This window comes from Homo sapiens, chromosome 11 (assembly GCF_000001405.40).
Source record: "Homo sapiens chromosome 11, GRCh38.p14 Primary Assembly".
In the NCBI taxonomy this organism is placed as follows: Eukaryota; Metazoa; Chordata; class Mammalia; order Primates; family Hominidae; genus Homo; species Homo sapiens.
Genome location: NC_000011.10, coordinates 30143819 through 30161726, shown reverse-complemented (window position 1 = coordinate 30161726; position 17908 = coordinate 30143819). Strand labels below are relative to the sequence as shown.

Genomic DNA, 17908 nt, shown 5'->3' with positions numbered 1-17908 from the left:
GAACAAATTCCCTGTATCTCTAGTTATAATTTTAACCAGAGACTAAAGAATATCTACTTCAAATGGACAAGTTCAACAATGCAGTAAATATTAGATACCCAACACCCTTAGAGAAAGCAGGAATAAATAATATTTATTGAGCAGCCACTAAGAGCCAGGTTCTGTGGTGAAATTATTTACATAATTTCATTTAGTACTGAAGGATGTGGAATCGGGTGGAAAGTCTAGAAGATGCCATTTGCCTTGATTAATCTTTTCTGGTTTGTGAGAAAAGGGTAAAAAATCAATTCTTTGTCATGAAACATAGTCTTCTAAAGGGAATTATTACTCTAAATGGACCACCTCAAGGCAAAGAACAAAGGGTTTTCCTAGTTTCTTTCTTAGGTAAATGATTCTTCTAATACTAATTCTGAATGCTGCCTCTTGAATAGCTTATAGTTTAGAGATAGAAAGAATATTACAGATAATGAAGCCCTGGTACTGGATTCTTTTTAGAGAGGAGGAACAGATCCAGAAGGTTAAGGCAATTGCCCAAGATCACAGTGCCATCTAGTAGGAGATCTGGAATGAGAAGTTCAGTCTTTGAGACTTTGCCTGGTGCTCATACTGCTCTGCTCTGCTGTCCTTTCACCAAGCAGTTACTGAAAACAGTTGACCACTTCCACCATCTATTTTTAGGGTTATCTTCTTCTGCTGGATGGATAAACACTCAGAACCCCAAAGCAGTGTTCTAAGGTGAGTCCTTCATTTAGTAACTATTTATTTCTCAGAAGCTTATGCCATTCTTACCATTCCTACAAATTAGCACCTACTCTCTTTCCTTTGGGATGCCAGGCATCACACAGCTACCCAATGGCAGCTACAACTTGTCTTTTTGACAAGACAGATAGTATTTCAGCAGAATTATGTTCCGTAGCATCAATCACCCTGACAGGATATATGATAATAATTGGGAGACTCACCATGTGCCCCATTACACTTTTAAGTTGTTTATCGAGATTTATATTTTTCCTATTACCCTGTCTTGTTGTCAATTTGTTGAAATTCTCCAATGATGTAATCATTTCTTAAGTGCTTTGCCTCTGGTATATCTAAAGAAATTAGTCAGTGTGTATAGTTGCTGCCATTTATTTTGGAATGATTTGAGAATCATCTGGGACTAAGGACCGGATCAAATGTCACCTTCTCTGAGGGTGTATTGAGAAACTGTTCTTGATACCCCCAGACTGGACCAGATGCTCACTTTTTGGCGCCTGTGTACACTGCACTTCCCTCTATCAGAACCCTCATCCCTCTACACTATTATTGTTTCTTTATGAGTTTTTCTCCTTTGTTATAAGGTAGGTTCTTTTAAGACAGATTTTTTTTTTTTGTAGTCAGACACACCTGGGTTCAAGTCCTGACTCTGTCACTTACCAGCAGTTCATTTTGTGGCAGTTACTTAAACTATCTGAATTTCAGCTAGCTCATCTGTAAAATGGGCATAATGATACACTCTTGCAGAGAAGTTTTAAAGATTAATGGAGGACATGTGTATAAAGTACACAGCATAGAATTGTACAAATGAAGCATTCACTAAGTGAGAGCTAGCATTATATTTTTTAAATTATTATCCCATGGCAAAGCACAATGCCTGTCACAGGGTGGATGTTAAAAACAAATGCATGTTGAATAAACAGATGACCACCAATATTACTTAAACTCTTCCTGTGTGATGCTGTTTTCCATATTATACCTGATATTATAGTTATGTTTACTTGCCTCAGTATCTTTCCTCTTGGAGTTTTTAGTCCAAGAGAGGAGATGTTGATTTTATCCTTGCCAAATGGAAAGGTAGATGTGAGATAAGTGAGAGAGGCTTAATGTATATTTTTCTGGCTTCTACCCAGCCTCTCCCCTAACCGCAAAAGATACTAGATGCCCTTTAGAAAGTCAGCTCAAGTACCCTCCACAAATGCTTAACAGTTAGAAACTCCAGGCTACAATCAGCAGGGCTCAGAATAAGTGCCAGAGCCAGTTTCTGAGCCTTGAGGGTAGATTGTCCCTTCTGAGAACTGACTGGGGCAGGTCTCATATTTTCTGGTACACGATAAAATTGCTATGCTTGTTTTAAAAATACTGAAATACATATTTTCCAGGGGAAAATATTATATTTCTGCCCTTAGCTCCTTAAATGACCCCATGCATGTGCACCCTGGCCACCACAGACCCTCTCCAGGATCTCCTCAACCTTTTCAAGGTCCAGCAACTTAAGAATTATTCCTTGTCATGGCAAAGGGCCTCCAGGACTGTATCCATTCTAGTTGCTTGGTGTCTGCTTACCAGCTGCTAAGTAGTTTGATAGCACCTTTTTGCACAAGTAGCTGCTCTCTGACCCCCTTCTTGGTCTTGCGGGTTTTGCACAGGTAGCTGCTCTCTGACCCCCTTCTTGGTCTTGCGGGTTTCTTCTTCTCTTTGCATCTGGCTTATAATCTGTTTTGGTCCTGCCAGCTCCTGGGACCACCCTTCCCTACCATCCTCAGCTCTCCCCAGTCCTCCTCTGTCTAGTCTAGCCTTGGCACCCTCTGCATATGGTATGTCTGGCAATGATTGAAGTCTCCTCGCTTGATCAAAGGCTCTTCTCAAACCTCATGTTAAGTGTACAACTTAGCCTTTAATTGTGGGCTCTGCCTCTTGGGGTAGGTTAACCAGGTATTCTGTGTATACTGGACATGTCCTGTATGTAATGATTTTGACTTGTATCTTACAATGATTTTGTCAGGATATTTAAATGTCCTTATTTCAGCTTTTATAGAAAAATACAGCAATTAGCTATTTTTCAAATTTAGCTGAGTTTCTTGCTTTTTTTTGCCTCCCTAAGATCTGGTAACGTTACCTTCCTACTGTGAGGAACACAATTTTACCCTCATTTTCCTGCATGGTTTTTTTTCAGTCTCTGGACTGATGTTTTTTTTCCTTCTGTCTAAGATGCTACATGTTATACAAACTAGGGGTCTGCACTAATTCCCTGATAATTAGGACGCAAACAATAGTTACTGAATAAATGAACAGGTGAATGAAAGAAAATAGTTTGCCCCATAGGATCTCTTTCCCTTTAGGATCTCATTTAGAATACAGCAGGGCCTTTGAATCTGAAAAAATAGTAGCTATACTGGAAGCTAAACTCTATCAGGAGGAAGCCATACTGCTTTTATACTGCCACTGCTCTCTATATTTAATTATATTTTGTTTTTCTCTTAGCAATTAGTAAAGTGCCAGTCTGTGTCAGATGTGGTTCCAAGAGAAGATGTTTTTGTCCACACTTGAGCCAAAGTGTTAAAGGAATAGCAGCACACTTAGGGTGGGAGGTGGGGGAGAGTGGAGATGGAAAGTAATTAATATTTATTGAGCAACCATCATGTACTTTTTTAGACATGATCTCATTTTATCCTCACAGCAACCCTGCAAAGTATATTCTAAATAAAGAATCAGGTTTAGCCAGGCTAGGTAACTTGCTCAAATCCTAGAGTTAGTAAGTGGAAGAACTTGGATTTAAACCGTGGTCTTTCCACACAAAAGCATCCTGCCTCCCATTTCTAGGAGTATCATGGTGGCTGGTGATAGCAGGAGTGATCAAAGCCAGAGAACTCAAGGGGAAGGTAACACCTTAAGACGGTGTCAGACCCACCCATTCTCTATCTCTTCCCCTCTCTATCTCTCGTTTCTACCTTCCATTTATTCATTTATATTATATTTACTGAGGACCCCTTGGCAGCAGGCATAGTTCTAGATTCTCTGGATCATGATGAGCTGATAAATAAGATATACATAGTCCCCGATCTTGTACAGTTATAGTCTAGGATTTATTACAGATATTGAAAACTGATTTCAAGCATGATGTAATTGTTAAAGTTATTTTGGAAATATGTAAGAAGATAATAGAGTATGGCAGTTGTTGGAGAGGTGGGGATCAGCAAAGGCCTCATGGAGATAGGAATATGTGGGTTGCAATGTGAGAGATAAGAATTTAGCTATGCCAACAGTTGGAGACGTGTTGTTTCAGGCAGAGGAAACTGCAAGAGGACAAAGATGTGATGCATTCATGAAAATGTAATATGATTGGCTTATCTTTCAAAAGAGAAAGCTGGAGAATCCCAGACTTCTTTCAATTAAGGAAGCCATCTTGTTACAATAGGAAGAGGTCATGAGCCCTGAGTGCTCAGGAAAGTATATTACATAGAGAAATATTTGGGTAGAGAACAGGGCAACCATACAGGCTTTTTTGATTACAAGCACCTGAAGAAGGCAGAGGCAGAAAGTAAGAATAATTAAATGAGCAAATGAAGAAGTGAGGGACTGAGGGGACACTTAAGGTTGGCTCATTTGATAAAAAAAATCTCCAACTGCAGTGGCAGCTCTGACGTTGCCGGTTTTGAAACTGCATTTGGAATGAGAAGACAGCGAAATTGTAAAAAGCCACTTTGCTCTGGCAAAGACTATAAGTGGCAGTTGGAATTGTGATCAAATTCAATCTCCCTAATTCTGTAGTTATAGACTGTTTTCCAAAAGTGTAGGTAGGTAGGCTGATTAAACTACAGGCTCTAAAATAGCCAAATGCTTCCTCCAAATGTTTAATATCCAAGCTAGGCCCTTCATCACAAAATACTTTCTGTATTAAATATTAATTGAAATAATTTCATTTTGCGGATTCAATACTTAAAATATCAATTTAGATGATGGATCATGAACTTTAAAGCTGGAAGAAACAGTAAATGTATCTCTCTCCCTACTGCCTGCATTGACAGCTGAGGGAGCTAGAATCCAGGGAGATAAGTGAGTGTCCAGGATTAAAGCCAGGTTATGAAGTTAAACTGGGATATTGCGTTTTTTTCAGATTAAAAAGAAAAAAGAAAATCAGGTGGATAAAGAGCCTCAGGTCTAACTGAATTGTCAACTAATGGTATGTGGAAATTTCCTGATATTTTCTTGCTTTGACAAATATTTATTTTTCTGGCTTTTAACTCTAACAAAATCTTCAGACTAAAGTGATTGTTGCTATTAGAAATCTGGGCCAGGTGCGGTGGCTCAAGTCTGTAATCCCAGCACTTTGGGAGGCCAAGGCAGGTGGATCACGAGGTCAGGAGATCGAGACCATTCTGGCTAACATGGTGAAACCCCATCTCTACTAAAAAAAAATACAAAAAAATTAGCCGGGCGTGGTGGCGGGCACCTGTAGTCCCAGCTACTCGGGAGGCTGAGGCAGGAGAATGGTGTGAATCCAGGAGGCGGAGCTTGCAATGAGCTGAGATCATGCCACTGCACTCCAGCCTGGGCTATAGAGCAAGATTCTGTCTCAAAATAAATAAATAAATAAATAATAAAAAAATAAAAAAGTAGAAATCTGAATGACATCCTATTAAAAGTGTGTGTGTATGGGGGAGGACTTTTGTAAACATGGCAAGTTTAGTTAATTATGAGTGGTGGAATATTCCAGAATCTTCTCCCCTTTGTGCCGTGAGAAAATGCTTCATAAGATGTAGAATCCTAAGAAAGTAGTGTGCCTCTCCTTTTTGTTCAACCCATAGTAAGCAACTACTTTGATCTGTTGCATCCTGGGTACGAAGTGTTGTAGTTGGGGTGGGATGTAGAGACATACTTCAGTCTCAGGAAATTTACCATTTAGATGACAATTTTGGTAACGACTAGACAAAAATGAATGTCTGTATTGGAGTATGAAAGGGGCAAATGCAATTGCTAGTAGAGCTGGAATGGATATTTTTGCAGTGCAGGCTTGGGAGTAAAAAAAAGTGAGCAATCAACAACTGGTACCTAGAACTATTTCTCCCTTTGTCAGGGAGAAGGGAGTTGAAAAGTGCATAAATAAAGCCAGGTAAGACAGTGCAGTTGCGCTCTGACTTGAAGTTAGGAGGGGGTTGGAGGAGTTATTCAGAACTTTTCCTAACTTCAGGATTCAAGTCATTCCATGTCTCTGTACTAAGAAAAGACTGGGTGATGGAAATAATGTAACATATTTGCCACACTCACAAGAGATTATATGGACTGATGCCCAGAAACCCATTAGTAATAGCTAAGTAAGTGTCTCTCTGTCCCCGTAGGCCTACTGGCAGACATTGCTAATCAATCATGACATTCTTTTCCCCTCTGAGACTTAGAATCTTTCTCAACACCACATTCCAAGCAAACACTAACAAATGTTATAAAACTGAGCTCCAATCCTTGTGCTAAGTTATATGGTAAAGGGACATCAGCAGTGCTTGGAGTAGCCCAAAAGAAGAGATGGCGTGACCTGGGCTTTGAAGGATGGGTTCAATTTGAGCAAGCGGAGAAGAGTCTTGGGAAACAGCACCATAGACACTTAAGTGTAGAGAAGGTAATGAGTGTGGCAGTTGGGAGGAGACTAAAGATGCTGACCTACATAGAGGAAAGGGTCTGTGTAGGAATAGGAAGAAGTAGAGTTGGACAAGAACAGTAAGTCGGGATATGCCAAACATTCTAAAAAATTGTTGTGATTGGAAATAGGGTGTTATTATAGGCTGATACAGAATTGCTGAATTGTGATGTGGTAAAAGTGGTGATCAAGCTCCTCAGGAGAACAAGGCACTGGAGTTAGGGAAGCCAGCTAAGGCAGATATTAAAGGAATGCAGGAGTGAGGTGAGGATGCCCTATTCTGAGGATGATGGACAAAGGCTGGAAGAAATGCAACTCATACTTTTATTCACCAAATATGTATTGAGTATCATTTCTGTGCTGAGCACTAATCTAGGGGCTGGCATACAGCTGAAAGCAAGACAGATAAGATCACTACTTACTGGCATTTACACTGTAGTTAGGGGAGACAGACAAGAAACATGTTGGTTTATTTCAGGTACCTCTTATCATGGTATCTCTTATTTTTATAAATAAAACTGAATAATACGGCAGAGAGCTATGGAAGGGGAGGGTGCACTTTAGATTTAGCAGTCAGGAGAGGCACCTAAGCAGATGACACTTGAGTTGATACCTCAGTGATAAGAAGGAGCTTGATATGGTTTAGCTCTATGTGCCCACCTAAATCTCATCTTGAACTGTAGTCCCCATGTGTTGAGGGAGGGACTTGTAATTCCCATGTGTTGAGGGAAAGAAGTGATTGGATCTTGAAGATGGTTTCCCCCATGCTATTCTTGTAACAGTAAGTGAGTTTGCACGAGATCTGTCATATTAATTAGTGTTTGGAAGTTCCTCCTTTGTGCTTCTCTTTCCTGCCAACTAAGGTCGGCAGCACGAAGGTGCTTGCTTTCCCTTCACCTTCAGCCATGATTGTAAGTTTCCTGAGGCCTCCCCAGCCATGTGGAACTGTGGGCCAATTAAACTTCTTTCCTTTATAAATCACCCAGTCTTGGGTACTTCTTTATACCAGTGTGAAAATGGACAGAGCTACCATGGAAAGACAGGGGTATGAACTCTGTAGGTGGAGAACCCAGTAAGTGGGAAGGTTCTGAGGCAGGTAAACCAGGCTGTATGGTCACCTGTCCTCTGAGGTCCTATCTGCATTGGTCTTAACACCTCTTGATCTCATCTTTACCACTTGTCCTCTTCACCCATCCTTCTGGGCCACACAGACCTCCTAACTGATTCTCAGACACATGAAACATGAGGTTCTTTCTCCAGATAGCTTCACAGCTCATTCTTTTTTTTTTTTTTTTTTTTGAGACAGAGTCTTGCTCCATCACTCAGGCTCGAGTGCCATGATGCAATCACAGCTCACTGCAGCCTCCACGTCCCAGGCTGAAATTATCTGCTCACTTCAGCTTTCCAAGTAGCTGGGACTGCAGGCATGCACCACCACGCTTGGCTATTTTTTAAAGTTTTCTATAGAGATGAGGTCTTGCTATATTGCCCAGGTTGGTATTGAACTCCTGGGCTCAAACAATCTTGCCTGCATGTATTGAAGGAAGTGTTGGAATTACAGGCATGAGCCACCATGCCTGACCTCATTCTTTTAGTTCCTGTAGGTCTCCATGCAAACACCATCTTATCGGAGAAGGCTTTCCTGAACATTTTATGTAAATTGTATTTCACTCACTTCCACTCCTAGTCCCCTTCCATGTTTTATTTTTCTCCATGGCACTTATTTTTCTTCATTGCGCTCCATTATTTCTTTTGATTTTGTTCCATGGTACTTATCTTCTTATATTCTTGCTTATATATGTATTATTTTTTTTCTTCCTACTAGAGTGAGGGTTCCATGCATGAGGCAGGGAAATTTTTCTGATCACTATTGTATTCCCAGAACCTAAAACAAGGTCTGGCACATGGCTTAATAAATACGCGAAAATTAATGCAAGAACTTATGATGAACAGCATTCAGCTGCTTGGTTGTAGCTGTAGCCAGTAACAGCAAAGTCAAAGCTCAGCTCCCTCCCCTGACCCTCTAGAGTCAGTGTTTGTATCCCAAGGCTGTGGCATCTTCAGCTCTTGCAGTTCTTCGTGTTATCCCACCTAAATATGCACATATTCCCGTGTTCCAAAAACTGCTGAACTTGCGTTTTTCCTAAGTACATCTAATTGAACAATCTGTGTTTCTACCTGAGCTTTTTCAATTTATATCCTCTCTTGAAAGCTTGCTATAGTAACAAACACACATTTTTTTTTAAGTTCTTCAGTGGATTTTTCCAAGTCAGGTTAAGAAATATTTCCTAGGAGCTTTATGGTAGACAGCTTGACCTAACCTACATCTCTGCCTCATTCCTCACTATTGTATGTCAGGCCTTTTGTATTTATTCAACAGGAAAGGGACCACTTAGATGTCTCTAGGAATGCCCTGATTTTCTATGTCCTGGTGACTTTCCTGTTTCGTTTCTTCTGTTTTGAATATTCTTGGAAAATTCTGGTAGCCCTTTAATTGTTTAAAGCTCAACTTATGGAACACCACCAAAAGCCTCCTTTGGCTCATTTAAAGAGAGGTGATTCCTTTTTTCTTCATTTTAATGACTGTATTTTATTACATGTTTGACATACTCATCATACTCCATTGCAAATGTTTCCTAAAATATCTCCGCCATTACCCAATGTCCTCTCTAAGGGCAAAGACTACATGCCATCTCCTTTGCTGAATGGTACTTTTCATATATAATAGATAATAAAACATCATAAAAATAAGAAATTGCATGTGAAGATAGCTTAAGTTCTAGAAATAATAGAAATGTTTTAGCCATCCCTAATTTTTATTGATACCACTAACTTCGAAGTGTTTGAAATATGCCACATCTATTCACTACTCTTTGAAACTGAGGAGATGGCACAGAGCAAAGAAGTGCCTATCATTCATATAGTCTCTAATTTCATTACCATATAGAACCTTTGTCCTTATTGATCAGACTGTTATGTTATATGGCTTTATTTTCCACAGGGTCTTTTGCTGCTATGTCTCCTTCAGGGCTCAGCAGATGATACTCCACTTTTTTGCTTGACAAAGTATTTTCACACCCTAACCCACGCAGAAATGGGGTGGTATATCTAACTCATAGGAAACACAAAGCATTAGCACATACAACGTGGTCTATAACTTCCAATACAAAAGGCAGTGTAGCACTGTGATGGAGCAAGGGTTTTGCAACCAGAGCGAGCTTGCCTTAAGTACTGGCTCTGTGATTTTCTTGCTTTGTGAAATAGGGAGCCTCAGAACTTCAGGTTCAGCATATATAAAACAGAATAATTCACTCACAAAGGCAGTTATGAGAACTTGGTACAATTCTTGGCATGTAAACCTTTCAGTACATGGTTGTACCCACTGTTTTCAGGGAGCTTAGGTTTTAATGACAAGACAAAGGTCATGCCTAAAATATTTGGAAAATAATCACAACATTGGGTAATGAAATGTGGTACCCTGAGAAGGTTTGTTTGTGGGCTTGTAATAATCAGAAAATCTTTCCAAAATAGAAAGAGTAATTTGAGAAGGACTATAAAGGATGAGTAGGAATGGACTAGACAGAAATAGATAGACCATCTCAAGAAGCCAATGAAAAGTTAATGGAGGTTGGGTGAACATTAATTCATAAGACATTCAAGCCATGTCCAGTGTACAGAAAACAGAGTCTGTTGCTGCTATTGTTGTCACTTCCCTTGGAGAGGACATGTAAGGCCAGCAGGGAGCCAGGCTCAAAGACAAAGAATAGATGCAGAGAGAACTGGGTTTACAGTCTTCCCTGGTTCCCTCAGGGCTGCGCTTGAAGCTCCCTAAATCCCAGAGCACGAGAGCTATACGTTCTTCCAGCTGTCAGTCCAGATAGAGAATACCTGCAGCTAAGGAGCTATGGGACTTCCATTCAGCCTGGCCTGGTTAACACATGGAACTGGCCTGAGTAAATGCCCTTTGTGTTCAGCTACAGGAAACCCCTATGTCTTATGGAAAAGCTGCTCAAGCTGAGCATCCTTCAATTCCTGCTCAAAGGCAGCAGAAACAAAGATATGTGCATGTGGAAGAATAGAGCATTTAACTACTCTCTGTAAGGTTGAAAAGAAGGAAGGTATGCAAGCATATTTAACACATTGCAATGTTGTAGTTCATGAGGTTTTTCTAAACTAAGTGATTCCTGACCAAATGACAATAAATTCTAAACTTGGGTTGGAGCCAGGCATAGTGGCTCATGCCAGGCGCAGTGGCTCCCAGCACTTTGGGAGGCTGAAGTGGGCAGATCACGTGAGCTTAGGAGTTCGAGATTAGCTTGGGCAACATGGTGAAACCCTGTCTCTACAAAATATACAAAAAAAAAAAAATTAGCTGGGCATGGTGGCATGTGTCTGTAGTCCCAGTTAGTAGGGAGGTTGAAGTGGGGGGATCACTTAAGCCTGAGAGGTTGAGGCTGCAGTGAGCTGTGATCATGCTGCTGCTCTCCAGCCAGGGTGACAGAGCAAGATTCTGTCTCAAAATAAATAAATAAATAAATAAGCAAACTTGGGTTTGAGTGGAGGTATGTGAGATGTAGCAAGATGTCTCTTCAAACAGCCTGCTCAACCTTTTATTCTTTAATTCCCATAATTCCCAATACTGCCCCACCTTTCTTCTCCTTTACTGCTTTCTGACTTTACTACGTGCCCAGGCATACCACAGCAACAGTGACGTTATCAACAGCAGCTCACATTCCTTTCCTTATTTAAAAATAGACTGACTCTCTAGTTTGCTGCAGATGACCCCTTCCTCCTTTCCCCTCTCTCCCATTACACGTCTACCTTATTTAAAAAAGCTTAAATGTTTAGCCAGTCAAGTCTAGTTTAAATTATACAGTCCAACCCCACCACTGGGGAAAAGACACAAAGGCAAAAGTCACGTTAAAAATAAAAACTTCTACTCTCCTTTGTTCTAAGTACTCTAGTAGCAACCAGCCATATGGGAGACACCCTTCTGCACAAAAGTAAATTTGCTTTACAAAAAATCCTTTATCTAAGTGCCCATTTCTCCTTAGGACACTGAGCCTTCTTTCTAACAAGGTGCATGTTCTTAGGTGTATATAGTTATGTAGTAGCTCTTTGTGGCCAACTTCCACGGCAAACATTTTACTATACCTGCTCTCTCCAAGGTCACTAGTCATCTCCAGATTTGAAACTCATGATTTTTCCCATCAGTTCTCAGCCTTCTTGCTCAAGCTGCCTCATTTTCTCTTTCCTTTGACTATTTCCTTTGGGAGATTAAGATAATGCACCTTGTCTTAAAGCTGTTGGCTACTTTTCTTATCCAGTTACTTGAAGATAGGGAATATATCTTATTCATATTCCTAACCTGTCCACCACAGTAATTTTCAAGTACAAATGTTTAAACCAATGAATAGCTTTGCTCCTTATATATGAGTCAAGGACCTCTACAATGAGTTATGTTGCTTTGCCTTTCTAATTTATACTCATCACAAATTTCTAATGGCCTCTTTTCTAAGCATGAGCCAGTACGTTTGATTCCTGTTATTATCCATATAGGCCATTCTTATTACTACATGCTCATGCATAAGTTTGGAAGAGCAATACTGGATGTAGCATCTCTGAGCCATGTGATATTATAGAGCTTAGTGAGAGTTTTGAAGCATCAATGTGCCAGGAGCCAGCAGAATTGCAATCTCACCTTTATTCACGGAGTAACTTTAGGCAAGTCATTTGTTTCCCCAGTTTTTTTGAAATAAGCAAACAAAACACAAGGAGATATTTGCCTGAGAGGTTTGTGGCAAGGGTCAAATTAAGGAATATTTGTGAAAATGCTCTGTAACACATGAAATGTTATATAAATTGGTTGAATGATGATATTGCAGAGTTTCACATTGAACTGTATGTTAAATTGGGGAATATTTAATAGGGAAAATGAAGAAACATCAACTTGTTCAAAATATATTTTAACATAAATCACAATATATGTTATTTCCATAAAATGTAGCTTGACATTTGTGGGGAAATCATATTATTGGTTCCAATCAATAATTTCAAAAGCATTTTCTGCAGATATATGAATAAGTATTTTTGTTTATACAAATTTGGAAAACACTGAATCAAAGTTCACAAAATTCTGTGTTATAACTCCTTATACCTTTTAATTCAGTTTCATTGAGAAATTTCTAAAATGGGGGTGTTGAAGTTGTATGTGTTTGTGTGTTGTACATGTGTGTGTATATATAGAGTATATCTTGCCATATTTCCTGAAAATAGATGAATAGAAAATGTCCTTCCATTTTTCTACAGAGCATCATGGGTCTAGAATTCCATATAACATTTTAGAAAATGCTATTCTTGTGGCCCAAATATTCTGTGATCCAATTACTTAGCTGGAAGATAGGCCTGCAGGAATAGTAGGTAACCTGTCAAATGTACTATATATTCTTGGGATGTGACCAAAATGCATGATCTAGCTTTGATTTGGTTTATCAGAGAAAGTCATTACCATGATATTCATTACTCTCAAGCAAATGGGCATCCTGAAAGGGAGACCCAGATGGCTGAGCTAAGATGTGGATGAGATTGGTTAGAAAGACTTACCAGGCTTTTCAATGATAATGTCAATGCAGCCACAGAAATCATCCCTGCTAACTACCCACTGAATCATTTCTTAATACTCGACCTTCTCCAACTAGACCTATGAGAGATCTTAAAAGAAAAATGTAAGTTTGTAGAATTCTATTTGGACACACTTTTTGTCATTCATTCTTTTCTGAAAGAATTTGCAAGGTATCTGCACCAATGGAAATCACAAGTCTTGGGTTCTAAAAGGCTAAGAATAAAGCTCGGGTTGGGGTGGCTTTTGCCATACATTTGTTGAGAAGACCTCTCTGCCAAGACAAGCTGAGAGTACTAAAAATATTAGAAAAAGGGTCACAAATGGACAGTTCACTGGCTGCCTTTAGCACTCAGTTATTATCTGTTTGGGGCACAGAGTGTTTTGAAAACTAAGTAATTAGGTCACAACTGAGATCTTGAAAAATTCAGAGACTCAGCAATATGGCGCTACATTTCTGTGTGAAAGCCATCAGTGATAGCTGAGCAGTACTTGTTTAGAAGGGGCATATGCTTCCAATTTACCCTGGTCCTTAATTCTTTTTGTTTTTGGATGTGAGCTATTTCACTGAATTATTTTCACCTGCTTGGCCCTATAGTACTTTATGGTTGGTATCCTCTGTATTAGTAGTATTGTTATTCAGAGCCTTCTAGCATGAATACTTCTTCCAACCATTCTACTTAGGAACACACACACTGTTGTTAGGAATGTAAATTAGTACAACTACTATGGAAAACAATACAGAAGTTCCCCGAAAAACAACAAGTAGAACTACCATATGATCCAGCAATTCTACCACTGGGTATCTATCCAGTACAGTGGAAATCAATATATCGAAGAGCTATCTGCACTCTTCTGTTTATTTTACCACTATTCACCATAATCAAGATATGGAATCAACCTAAGAGTCCATCAGAAGATGAATGGATAAATAAAATGTGGCATCTTTATACAATAGAATATTATTCAGCCATAAAAGTAATAAAATGCTGTCATTTGCAGCAACATGGATGGAGTTGAAGGTTATTATGTTAATTGAAATAAGTCAAGCACAGAAAGACAAATATTGTGTGTTCTCACTCATATGTGGGAGCTAAACAAGCGGATATCACAAAGATAGGAGTAGATTGGTAGTTATCAGAGGCCAGGAAGGTAGTGGGGAGGAGGGGAAAAGAGGGTGATTAATGCAGGGGTCCCTAACCCCCAAGTCCTGGACCAGTACTGGTCTGTTAGGAACCCAGCGGCACAGCAGGAGATGAGTGGATGAGCGAGCATTACCCCCTGAGCTCAACCTCATGTCAGATCAGCTGCGACAGTAAATTCTCACAGGAGCACAAATCCTGTTATGAACTGTGCATGCGAGGGATCTAGGTTGTGTGCTCCTTCTGAGAATCTGACTAATGCCTGGTAATCTGAGGTGGAACAGTTTCATCTTGAAACCATCCACATCCCTTCCCCCACCCCCATCTGTGGAAAAATGGAAAATTGGCCTATATCAAAGCAGTCCCTTGTGCCAAAAAGGTTGGGGACCACTGGATTAATGGGTACAAATATACAGTTAGGCTGGGTGCAGTGGCTCACACCTGTAATCCCAGCACTTTGGGAGGCGGAGGTGAGACAATTCCTTGAGATTAGGAGATCGAGACCAGCCTGGCCAACATGGTAAAACCCGGTCTCTACTGAAAATACAAAAATTAGCCAGTTGAGGTGGCACACACCTGTAGTCCAGCTACTCAGGAGGCTGAGGCAGGAGAATAGCTTGAACCTGGGAGGCAGAGGTTGCAGTGAGGCAAGATTGCACCACTGCACTCCAGCCTGGGAGACAGAGAGAGACTCCATCTCAAAATAAAAATAAAAATAAAAAATAAAAAAAAACAAGATGTGGTTAGAAAAAATAAGACAGTATTCAATTGATCAGTAAAGTGATTATATTAGCAATAATCTATTGTGCATTTCAAAATAGATGAGAATGATTTGAATGTTTCTAGCATAAAAGAAAGACAAGTATTTAAGGTGATGGATATCCCAGTTACCCTGATTCGATCTTTATACATTATATGAACGTATTAAATTATCATATGTACTCCCAAAAATGTACATCTGTGTCAGTAAAAAAAAGAAGAAAAATAGTCTTTTTATGTTTGCCAAAATATTTAGCATTTCTGGTGCTTTTCATTCCTTCTTTAAAACTCTGAGATTCCATCTGGCATCATTTTCTTCCTGCCTGATGAAGTACCTTTATCATTTCTTGTAGGGCATATCTGCTGGTGAAAAATTCTATTAATTATCAATTATTTGGAGATGACCTTTTCTTTCCTCCTTTCTTTTCCCTTTCCTTTTCCTTTTCTTTCCTTCTGCACTTTAAAGGTATTATTTTACTGTCTTCAGGACTTAATTTTTTAACATTTTATTTATTTAGTTGACAAAAATTGTATATATTATGTACTTAAAAATATGTGTACATTGTGGAATGGATACATTGAGCTAATTAATGTATATGTCACTTCACATACTTATGTGGTGAGAACTCTTAAAATCTACTCTTTTGGCAATTTTGAATAATACAATACACTGTTATTAACTACAGTCACCATGTTGTACAGTAGATCTCTTGAATTTATTCCTAGCTAACTGAAAGTTTGCATCCTTTGAGCAACATCTCCCCAACTTTAGCTACTGCCACCCCTTCCTCCCAGGCCCTGGTAACACCACCATACTGCTCTTTACTTCTATGAGTTCAACTTTATTTTAGTTTCTAAGTATAATTGAGATTATGTGGTATTTGTATTTCTGTGCCTGATTTATTTCACTTAACATAATGTCCTCCAAGTTCAGTCATGTTGTCACAAATGACAATATTTTCTTCTTTTTTAAGGCTGAGTAGTATTCCATTGTGTACATATCACCACCTTTTCTTTATCCATTCATTTGTTGATGGAGACTTAAGCTAATTCTCTGTCTTGTTTGAGCAGGCAATTAACTTGGACTCAAGTTGCAAACTGTCTCCTTAGCAAAAGATATCATGCAGCTAAGGAGATGGTTTGCAACTTGGGTCCAAGTTATTGCCTGCTCAAAGAAGACACTGCATTATGGATTTTATTTCTATTGGTCTTCTTTAAAGATTGGGCTAGATATATTAGGGGCTCAGCATCTACTGTTAATTTAACTTGCAAACCTCTCAACTGAAACACTTTGCACTATCTTTCCCATCCTCCTCATTATGTCGACCTCAAAAAACAATTTTAATCTTCAAATATATCATGCAGATTTACCAATTCAAAAATACAAAGATATATTTTAAAGGATGTTCTTTGAAGCTTAATTGCTAATTGCTATTTGCTAAAATTTCTGAAAAAATGTCAGCCAGGGTCTGGGTAAATAAATCATGATATATGCGTAAAAATTCATGATATCTGACTAGCTAAAAATAGATTTATAAGTCTTGCAATAAAAATATTTCCAAAATATATAGAAAAAGCAAGATAATAGGATTTGAATTCTGTATATATTTATATACATAAAGCTGTATATAGAGAGAGTGTCTGGAGGTAATGGTGAAGGGAGACTTTTTGTGGTTTCTTTTTTAACCAGGGTATTCACTGATTTTTATACTGAAAAACTAAAATTCATGTCACAAGACTCTTCCTCAATATACCAATGGGGAGAAAAATAAGTGTGAAAATTTAATCCTTAATATAGCTTTTTTTTTTTTGCAACATCCCCCTCTCACCTTTGCTAAATTTTACCTATAAAGTCATTTTTTTAAAGAACTAATGGGGAAAACCAATCTGAAGAGTAAAAACAAACAAACAAACAAAAAAAACCCTCAACATTTTACTTTGTCCTTAACATAGATGTCAGTGTTTTATCTAATATCTAGAATTTTCTGTTTTAAAGGCTGGGTTGAATAGTGCTTTCAGCAAAGAAGAAAGATAGAATTTATTTATTTATTTTTAAGTATGATGGCCTACAATCTTCTCTGTTACAAAAAACCCACACCAAAGAGATGACAAAATGACTTGCTGAGGGACATCATCCTGAGAAGATAAATAGACGTTAAAATGGTTTTGGCCTGAAAAATCAATTTGGTTGTCTATAGGCCTCATGGAAAGAAAATCACCTTTGCTGAGGAAAATATTATTTCTACCTCTGAGAGGACCAAACCAGTATGAGGGAGGAAGGAAGGCTCTTTTTTTTTTTTTTTTTTTAAATGATGACACTTTCTCCAACAAAGAATGAGTGTTTACAGAAAAATAGGGGACATATACTTATTTTTCTCAGCATTGAAGTAAAACCTTGTCCTTCTTTATTGTTCGCCCAGCTACAGGGCATTACTGACATATATGTATAGGATAGAGAGGCAAAAAGCCATGTCATGCTGTGAGGGCAACAGACTGATGTCTTGGTGAAGAAAAACAAAAAACTTTGAAGGTGAGAGAAGAATAACAGGGAAATGTAGGTAAAGAAGGACCAGCTGAGCAAACTCTTCCTGGTTGAGAGTCTGCAGCTGGCTGCAGCTTTCTTTTCTGTGTTGGGTGACCCATGGGAAGAACAACTACTATAGATTTTCTGTAAGGAGCAAGCAGAAGCATGAATAGCCTTCCAGCAACTTCTGGGAAAGGACTAGCCAGAGCTCTCTGACTTGTCACTAGCAGTCAGATTGGAACCAGTTGATTTATTAGGATGAGGAGAGTCAGAATAAGAAGTTGGGGGAGAGGGATTAGGAAGATTTGGAAGAGTCAAGACCTCATTCAAGAGGTCTCATAGAAAAGAATTGATTGTTTGAGCTCTAAAACCAGCTGAGGGTTTAATGCAGATGTTAGGAAGGGGATTAGCATCCATAAGCATCTTCTAATGGCAATATCCACATGCGGTAGGTGTAGCCATCACCTTCTTCTTTT

The 17908-nt window shown here is 38.9% G+C and overlaps 1 long non-coding RNA gene across 7 annotated transcripts in view; it reads left to right on the top strand.

Moving 5' to 3' along the window:
* The window catches only part of ARL14EP-DT (ARL14EP divergent transcript), a 279977-nt gene that overhangs the window by 161220 nt on the left and 100849 nt on the right, over positions 1 to 17908 (top strand). For 2 of the 7 annotated variants that reach the window (NR_187435.1, NR_187436.1), the window contains exon 4: positions 4874 to 4939. The exons of the other annotated variants lie outside the window; for them this stretch is intronic. This is a non-coding gene — a long non-coding RNA (ARL14EP divergent transcript). The remainder of the gene's footprint in view (positions 1 to 4873; positions 4940 to 17908) is intronic. 7 annotated transcript variants of the gene reach the window in all.